This window comes from Homo sapiens, chromosome 12 (genome assembly GCF_000001405.40).
Source record: "Homo sapiens chromosome 12, GRCh38.p14 Primary Assembly".
Lineage (NCBI taxonomy): Eukaryota > Metazoa > Chordata > Mammalia > Primates > Hominidae > Homo > Homo sapiens.
Window position 1 is genome coordinate 89,810,026 of NC_000012.12, and position 9,931 is coordinate 89,819,956.

The window sequence follows — 9,931 nt, forward strand, 5'->3', positions numbered from 1 at the left end:
GTGTGGTGCTGAAAAAAATGTATATTCTGTTGATTTGGGGTGGAGAGTTCTGTAGATGTCTGTTAGGTCCGCTTGGTGCAGAGCTGAGTTCAATTCCTGGGTATCCTTGTTGACTTTCTGTCTCATTGATCTGTCTAATGTTGACAGTGGGGTGTTAAAGTCTCCCATTATTAATGTGTGGGAGTCTAAGTCTCTTTGTAGGTCACTGAGGACTTGCTTTATGAATCTTGGTGCTCCTGTATTGGGTGCATATATGTTTAGGATAGTTAGCTCTTCTTGTTGAATTGATCCCTTTACCATTATGTAATGGCCTTCTTTGTCTCTTTTGATCTTTGTTGGTTTAAAGTCTGTTTTATCAGAGACTAGGATTGCAACCCCTGCCTTTTTTTGTTTTCCATTTGCTTGGTAGATCTTCCTCCATCCTTTTATTTTGAGCCTATGTGTGTCTCTGCACGTGAGATGGGTTTCCTGAATACAGCACACTGGTGGGTCTTGACTCTTTATCCAATTTTCCAGTCTGTGTCTTTTAATTGGAGCATTTAGTCCATTTACATTTAAAGTTAATATTGTTATGTGTGAATTTGATCCTGTCATCGTGATGTTAGCTGGTTATTTTGCTCATTAGTTGATGCAGTTTCTTCCTAGTCTCGATGGTCTTTACATTTTGGCATGATTTTGCAGCGGCTGGTACCGGTTGTTCCTTTCCATGTTTAGTGCTTCCTTCAGGAGCTCTTTTAGGGCGGGCCTGGTGGTGACAAAATCTCTCAGCATTTGCTTGTCTGTAAAGTATTTTATTTCTCCTGCACTTATGAAGCTTAGTTTGGCTGGATATGAAATTCTGGGTTGAAAATTCTTTTCTTTAAGAATGTTGAATATTGGCCCCCACTCTCTTCTGGCTTGTAGGGTTTCTGCTGAGAGACCCGCTGTTAGTCTGATGGGCTTCCCTTTGAGGGTAACCTGACCTTTCTCTCTGGCTGCCCTTAACATTTTTTCCTTCATTTCAACTTTGGTGAATCTGACAATTATGTGTCTTGGAGTTGCTCTTCTCGAGGAGTATCTTTGTGGCATTCTCTGTATTTCCTGAATCTGAACGTTGGCCTGCCTTGCTAGATTGGGGAAGTTCTCCTGGATAATATCCTGCAGAGTGTTTTCCAACTTGGTTCCATTCTCCCCGTCACTTTCAGGTACACCAATCAGATGTAGATTTGGTCTTTTCACATAGTCCCATATTTCTTGGAGGCTTTGCTCGTTTCTTTTTATTCTTTTTTCTCTAAACTTCCCTTCTCGCTTCATTTCATTCATTTCATCTTCCATTGCTGATACCCTTTCTTCCAGTTGATCACATCGGCTCCTGAGGCTTCTGCATTCTTCACGTAGTTCTTGAGCCTTGGTTTTCAGCTCCATCAGCTCCTTTAAGCACTTCTCTGTATTGGTTATTCTAGTTATACATTCTTCTAAATTTTTTTCAAGTTTCCAACTTCTTTGCCTTTGGTTTGAATGTCCTCCTGTAGCTCAGAGTAATTTGATCGTCTGAAGCCTTCTTCTCTCAGCTCGTCAAAGTCATTCTCCGTCCAGCTTTGTTCTGTTGCTGGTGAGGAACTGCGTTCCTTTGGAGGAGGAGAGGTGCTCTGCTTTTTAGTTTCCAGTTTTTCTGTTCTGTTTTTTCCCCATCTTTGTGGTTTTATCTACTTTTGGTCTTTGATGATGGTGATGTACAGATGGGTTTTTGGTGTGGGTGTCCTTTCTGTTTGTTAGTTTTCCTTCTAACAGACAGGACCCTCAGCTGCAGGTCTGTTGGAGTACCCTGCCGTGTGAGGTGTCAGTGTGCCCCTGCTGGGGGGTGCCTCCCAGTTAGGCTGCTCAGGGGTCAGGGGTCAGGTACCCACTTGAGGAGGCAGTCTGCCCTTTCTCAGATCTCCAGCTGCGTGCTGGGAGAACCACTGCTCTCTTCAAAGCTATCAGACAGGGACATTTAAGTCTGCAGAGGTTACTGCTGTCTTTTTGTTTGTCTGTGCCCTGTCCCCAGAGGTGGAGCCTAGAGAGGCAGGCAGACCTCCTTGAGCTGTGGTGGGCTCCACCCAGTTCCAGCTTCCCGGCTGCTTTGTTTACCTAAGCACCCCTGGGCAATGGTGGGCGCCCCTCCCCCAGCCTCGCTTCCACCTTGCAGTTTGATCTCGGACTGCTGTGCTAGCAATCAGCGAGACTCCGTGGGCATAGGACCCTCCGAGCCAGGTGCAGGATATAATCTCGTGGTGCGCCGTTTTTTAAGCCCATAGGAAAAGCTCAGTATTCGGGTGGGAGCCACCCGATTTTCCAGGTGCCGTCCGTCACCCCTTTCTTTGACTCGGAAAGGGAACTCCCTGACTCCTTGTGCTTCCGGAGTGAGGCAATGCCTCGCCCTGCTTTGGCTCGCACACGGTGCATGCACCCACTGACCTGCGCCCACTGTCTGGCACTCCCTAGTGAGATGAACCCGGTACCTCAGATGGAAATGCAGAAATCACCCGTCTTCTGTGTTGCTCACGCTGGGAGCTGTAGACCTGAGCTGCTCCTATTCGGCCATCTTGGCTCCTCCCTTCTATTTATTTATTTATTTATTTATTTTTTGAGACAGAGTCTCGTTCTGTCGGCCAGGCTGGAGTACAGTGGCATGATCTTGGCTCGCTGCAACCTCTGCCTCCTGTGCTCAAGCAATTCTCCTACCTCAGCCTCCCAAGTAGCTGGGATTACAGGCGTGTGCCACCACGCCTGGCTAATTTTTGTATTTTTAGTAAAGATGGGGTTTCACCATGTTGGCCAGGCTGGTCTCGAACTCCTGACCTCAGGTAATCTGCCCGCCTTGGCCTCCCAAAGTCCTGGGATTATAGGTGTGAGCCACCGTGCCTGGCCTTGATTTTTTAAGCTAGCTTGAGTTGGGGTTATTGTTATTTGGATCTGAAACCATCATAACTGCTACATTGTCAGAAAAACTTTGTGAAACCAAGAGTCCATAAATTACTGGCTGAAAAATGCTGGATTACATGATATCAAAGGTCATCTCTCACAATATATACTTTGTGATATTAATCTGGTAATAGAAGGTAAAATTGAAGACAAGTTGGAGAAATGCGTGTTCAATGTTAGACATGCATTCTGCAGTGAATCTCAGCCTTATTGTCGAAGTATGTTTATTGTCTAGTTAGCTACTTTTAATTCAGAGGAAGTTTCTTGATTCATTTATCTTTTTGTGTTTTGTGTAACTATATTTTTCTGGCTTCTTCAACTTTTTTCTTTTAATACATCATCTTTATGCATAGTGTCAAATTTTATTAATGGTCTCAATTTTTAATTTTTGTTGGGCAACAGGAAATTACAAAACATAATACATATTTAATAAATGTATATTGAATTAAGGTTATTATCTTATGAGCAATCTATTCCTAAACCAGTAGTTTTCAAATTTGGCTGCCTATGACAATCACTTGGGTAGTTTTAAAATAGTGGTTCTCAAAGTTTAGTGTACCTGGTGGGCTTGTTAAAAGGTATTTACGCCAGTCACAATTTTCTGATTCAGTAATTCCAGAGCGGGGGACCAAATTTTGCATTACTAACTAGTTCCAGGTATTACTGATGCATTGTTCTTGATTATTTGAAACAAAATCTTCTAGGTTGGGATGGTTTTTAAGGCTCCCCAGATAATTATAACGGAAGGCCAGGCTGAGAACCACCAATTTGAACAGAGGAGGATGACTGGCTTTTATTTTCTGTGTAAGCCCTTATACAGGCCCTTTTATTATTCCAGTAAAAAATTCCCTTTCACATCTCAATGAATTATTTGATCCACTCTACCTCACTAGAATAAGCCAGTAAACTTTTTTTTTTTTTTCAAAAAAAGAAAATACTGCAGTTGATTACTCAGGAGAATCATAAGCCAAGTATCAACTATCTCCTGCCCCAAGAAGAACTGTAGACTAACTTAAAATAATTTATGTAATAATTTTTATCATTCAGGGTCCAATCAGGAAAACAGAAATAGTATACTTTAATATGGGGAATTGCTTACACAGGTCATGTAAAAGATTAGCAACCGCTGGAGAGACCAAGGAAGAAGGAGATGTTATCAGAGCCCAGGAGCCTGACATGCCTGAAGAAAGCTGCAGCTGGGATGGGCTTTCCCAGGGGTAGTTGGAGCTAAGGAGGAGGAGATGTAGCTGTTGTCAGAGAAGCTCCCCAAAGTAGAGAGGGAGAATTCTGTCCTCTCTCGTCCTTTTGTGTCTTCCATCAACACTTCTCATTGGCTAAACCCACCAGAATAGCAGCTGACATGGGAGTTTGGGTCAGTCCCTCAGGCGTACAGAACAAAACAGACAATAAAAAGGGGAGGAATGAATGGATCCGAGGGCAAATATGCCAAGGACCAATACATTGTTCTTATTTCTGGGACAATTCAGTCTCTTACTGACAAAACTGAGAGAATGAACATCTGCGGATGTCACTTCACTCTTAAGAACACTTAGACTGTTTAGCTACTTCACTGGAATTTTAATTTAACTTAAAAATGTGTGTTTATGTATGGGATATATGAGTTTGCTATATATATGTGTAGCTTCCTTTGGTCAATTGACAACCTACTTCAAACACTGTACAGCTAACCCTTAAACAACATGGGTTTGAACTTTGAGGATCCACTTATATGCAAATTTTCTTCTTCTTCTGCCATCTACTCAGACTGCAAGACCAACCCCTCCTCTTCCTCCTCCTCTTCAGCCTACTCAATGTGAAGACAATGAAAATGAAGACCTTTCGGATGACCCACTTCCACTTAGTGAATAGTAAATATATTTTCTCTTCCTTATGATTTTCTTAGTAACATTTTCTTTTCTTATCTTTACTGTAAGAATACAGTATGTGATAGATGTAGCATACAAAAAATGTCTTAACTGGCTGTTTATGTTATCATTAAGGCTTCCAGTCAACAGTAGCTGTTAGTAGTTAATTTTCTGGGGACTCAAAAGTTATACATACATTTTCTACTGTGTGGAGGGGTTTGCATCCCTAACCCCCACATTTTTCAAGGGTCATCTGTAGTCACCTTTTAAAGTAAAACCTAAGTCTCCAGAATAACAGTCAGAATGTTATAATGTGATATATACTTATATTAAATATATAATATTATTAACTATTACTAATCATTGACTTATCGTCAAATTCTACCTCTTCTGAGAGGATGAGTTTTAGGAACTCTTTCAACAGTCCCACGTTAAGAAATTAATAACTATGATCGCCTTAGTCCAGACCTGAATGTTTAGATGGCATCATCTGGGTCCTGTTAGTGAATTAGAAACTATAATGTTATTCAGACATACCTTGAGATATTGTAGATTGGTTCTAGACTAGCACCATAAAGCAAATATTGCAATCAAGTGAGTCACATGAAAGTTTTGGTTTTCCAGCGCATATAAAAGTTATGTTTATACTATACTATATTAAATGTGCAATAGAAGTATGTCTAAAAAAACATACCTTAGTTAAAAAATACTTTATTGTTAAAACATGCTAATGATCATCTGAGCCTTCAATGAATTGTAATCTTTTTGATGATGAAGGGTCTTGCCTCAATGTTGATGGCTGTTGACTGATCAGGGTGGTGGTTACTAAAGGCTGGAGTAGCTGTGGCAATTTCTTAACATAAGACAGCAATGAAGTTTGCTGCATTGATTAATTCTTCTTTTGACAAAAGATTTCTCTGTATCGTGGAATTCTTTTAGGTAGTATTTTACCCACAGTAGAATTTCTTTCAAAGTTAGAATCAATCCTCTCCAAACCTGCCAGTGCTTTATTAATAAGTTTATGAAATGTTTAAATTCTTTGCTGTCATTTCTACAGTGTTCACAGCATCTTCCCCAGGAGTAGATTGCATCTGAAGAAACCAGTTTCCTTGCTTATCTGTAAGAAGCAACTCTTCATTTATTCAAATTTTTATCATGAAGTTGTAGAAACTCAGTACCACCTTAGGCTCCACTGCTAATTCTAGTCCTCTTTCTATTTTCACTACATTGCAGTAACTTCTGCTGCTGAAGTCTTAAACCCCTCAAAGACATCCATGAGGGTTAAAATCAACTTCTTCCAAACTCCTGTTAATGTTGATATTTTGACTTTCTCCCGTGAATCACAAATGTTCTCAATGGTATCTAGAAAGGCAAATCCTTTTTAAAAGGTTTTCAATTTACTTTACTCACATCCATCAAAAGAATCACTTTCTATGAAATTACTTCTTGATCCATGGGCTGTGGAATGGATGTTGTGTTAACAGAGAAGGAAACAATATTAATCTCCTTGTACATCTCCATGAGAGTTCTCGTGTGACCAGGTACATTGTCAGTAAGCACTAATATTTTTATTTTTTATTTTTGAGACAGAGTCTTGCTCTGTTGCCCAGGCTGGAGTACAGTGGCCCAGTTGTGGCTCACCGCAACCTCTGCCTCCTGGGTTCAAGCAATTTTCCTGCCTCAGCCTCCAGAGTAGCTGGGATTACAGGTGTGCACCATTACGCTTGGTTAATTTTTTTGTATTTTCAGTAGAGACGGGGTTTCGCCATGTTAGCCAAGTTGGTCTCGAACTCCTGGCCTCAAGTGACCTGCTCGCCTCAGTGTCCTTAAGTGTTGGGATTACAGGCATGAGCCACCATGCCCAAGAGAATTTAAAATTTAAATCACCATAACAAAGGCTAAGAATATGAAATAGTGGAAGGAAGGTATGTGATGGGCTTGTTCCCTTACAGCCAGGATACACTGAGGTACTCATGTGCAAGATTTGGAAGTTAGAAGTGTTGGGGAAGCTGTGCTTCTGTTTTTGCTAAGGGTAAACTTGATCAAGGAACAGTTGGTTTTCTGCAGTAAGGGAAACTGTACTAAATTCTCAGGTGTTGAGAGATGAGACATGGAGCTTCCATTTTGCTGGTGTGGATTGTGGATAGAGTGGTGTGTTCTTGGAATGAGCATTTGCATTTTCCCTGTTCTCCAGATTTCTGTTATATCTGAGGATCGTTTCTGGAATCTATGGCTAAATCTTGCTCCTCCAGCCCATACATTGCTAGGTAAGTTTCTATTTCTCTATATAAATGACTTTTCTGATTAGATAAGCTGGAGGGATTCTATATCGTCAACTTAATCTTAATATACTACTAAATGCTAAAAAGTACAAATGGTAATATTTCCCCTGACTTCCAGAAATATACTTCACATTTGTTAAAAATCTTACCCTGGAAGGTGGCAGAAAATGAACTAGATTCAAAGATTTTGGACTGGTAAATTTGCCTGTGGGTTTTGGTTTATGTTATTTTGAAATGTAATTTTAATAATTATTTATTTTTATCTCTATACACACATACATGGCTTAAGTCAAATTTTTACTAGGATTATAACACAAAAATAGACGCTATGTTAATCTACCTTTCTATACCTCAGATTCCTACTTCTTATAGATGTTTTAGCAATTTCTACTGGAATTTACATTTTTTTCTAAATAGCCTGCCTATGTTGCTATTTCTCGAGTTATTCCACTTTTATTTATTATCTTTTTACTTCCCTTTGTGGAAGATGAAAGCTTATCTTTTCTCCACTCTTCCATGACCAATATAAACATCTTTGCACTTTCCTTTTCTCACCATTTTCTTATCTAGATAGCAAATTTGTATGTCTTTAGTGTTTACATTGTCATGACTATACAGACATTATTACAGCTGAATCATGTAGTAAATAAGAATCACCTTTCCTTTCTCAGACATTGAATTTTTTTCCCCTGAGGTAATAATTATCTTACTTTTGCTTAGCTTTCTATGTACTTCTGTGCTAATTTGGCCAAAAATTTCCTACAGAGGTGTAAATCTCCTGCAAGATATTAAAACACATCAGGTCACTTTTTAATTTTTTTTTCTTTCTTCTTTGCTTCTTGGAAATACTCATTTGAGAGCCCACAGTCTTTCTGCTCCTAGAAGGAGCAGGCTAGGTCTATTGCACAACTGTCAACTGGAGCCCTCTCTTATGTTAAATCCCTGATTTCCTGAATCTTGAGTTTTCAGGTTTCTTGGTTTATTACCCCATTTTGGTAGTACCTTTCCTCTAGTAGCTTTCTGTGGTAAACGTTTTTTGGAGGGAACTTATATTTCTTTGTTCTACATTCATATGAATGATAAGTTAACTGGGTGTTAATATAATGTAATATTATTAAATGCTAGTGTGATATCCCAGCCCTGAGACATGCCTGGTGCATCCTGAACTAGAATTCTTCTAGTTAGTCTTTCTTGAGAGTAAAAACCCTAGCTCTTTCCTGAGGTCAGGAAGGGCAGTTCTGTGAATGCTTGGAATTGCAGAGAAGATAAATTTCTTGTATAGATGATCAGTTTGTTCTATTTTCAGCCCCACCTACACCCACTCTTTCAGAAATACCTCCAGTTTCTGAGCCTTCCTGGGGTCCTGCATTGTGAGTTGCAAGATATTTCTAGTCTGCTAGGTCAATAACCACTCATCCATCTGCTTTCTAGCTTTTAAAATTTTGTTGATGTCATCATAGTCTCTTTGTTCTTACAGGCTTGTGCTTTTTTATTCCCTTCACTGTTAATTTAGAGGGATTTGAGGAGTGGGGAGAAGAGGTTGATATATGTATACAATTTGTCATATTTCATTGGAATTTCTTTGATGATTGGTTTTATTATTTACTTATTTATTTTTTTGAGACGGAGTCTTGCTCTGTCACCTTGGGTGGCATGCAGTGGTGTGATCTCGGCTCACTGAAACCTCCAGCTCCTGGGTTCAAGCAATTCTCCTGCCTCAGCCTCCTGAGTAGCTGGGACTACAGGCACACATCACCATGCCCAGCTAATTTTTGTATTTTTGGTAGAGACAGGGTTTCACCATGTTGGCCAGGCTGGTCTCAAACTCCTGACCTCAAGTCATCCACCCACTTTGGCCTCCCAAAGTGCTAGGATTACAGGCATGAGCCACCGCCCAGTCAAGGATTTTGGTCCTTTTAACAAATTCAGAAACTTAATAACATAATTGTGTTAGATGTAAAAACAGACCAGTTTCACAAAATTCAGTAACTTCAGGAGAATTTTTTTTTTTGAGTTACCTGAAATGTCCCATAATTGTTCCTTTTAATTTTAATTTAGCTAACTAGTAATAATTATCCATGTCATAATTTGCCTGTTTGCCTTCTCCTCTCTTTAACATGATTCACGCATGGTCTTTTGTTGATGGTTGTTTTCTCGTCCTCTTGATATTTGTATTTCAGGTATCTATTATATTAATCCACAAAGGCATTGCAGGGCATTTCTCTGCTAATATTAGCTATACTTTGGGTTAAACTCTCATCTAGGAAACATCCTAACTTAGAAGATGGTTTTCCTTTGGGTCACTGCTTCAGGAATGCCAACTGAGTCTAAGAAGAAAGATATAAATCCTCATAATGTAACATTGTTAAATGCCAGACAATAGGATGCCTGGGTGAGTAGGAGGGTCTTAGGTGACATCTCCAAATACGAGGCTGATATTGACTTTAAAGTGCTTGCTTTTTGTGCTTATAGAGGTAACACATAAAATTTGTAGAAAATTAACTTGAAGAAAAGTATAAAAATGAAAGCAAAATTTATCATGAATTCCACAATTCAGAGACATCATCTTCTGTTAATCATTATTGATATATTTAGGTTTATTTTATCCAGCCTTATTTCACGTCTAAATGTGCATTAAAAATATTTTATTGGCCGGGCGCGGTGGCTCACGTCTGTAATCCCAGCACTTTGGGAGGCCGAGGCGGGCGGATCACGAGGTCAGGAGATCGAGACCATCTTGGCTAACACGGTGAAACCCCGTCTCTACTAAAAATACAAAAAATTAGCCGGGCAAGGTGGAGGGTGCCTGTAGGCCCAGCTATTCGGGAGGCTGAGGCAGGA

At 39.8% G+C, this 9,931-nt stretch overlaps 1 long non-coding RNA gene across 1 annotated transcript in view; it reads left to right on the forward strand.

The window, feature by feature from the left end:
* LOC107984543 (uncharacterized) overlaps positions 1 to 7,075 on the forward strand; it is a 104,864-nt gene extending 97,789 nt beyond the window's left edge. Inside the window, exons 5-7 of the long non-coding RNA XR_007063399.1 lie at positions 4,708 to 4,811; positions 5,866 to 5,927; positions 7,003 to 7,075. This is a non-coding gene — a long non-coding RNA (uncharacterized LOC107984543). The remainder of the gene's footprint in view (positions 1 to 4,707; positions 4,812 to 5,865; positions 5,928 to 7,002) is intronic.
* The last annotated feature ends 2,856 nt before the right edge of the window (positions 7,076 to 9,931 follow it).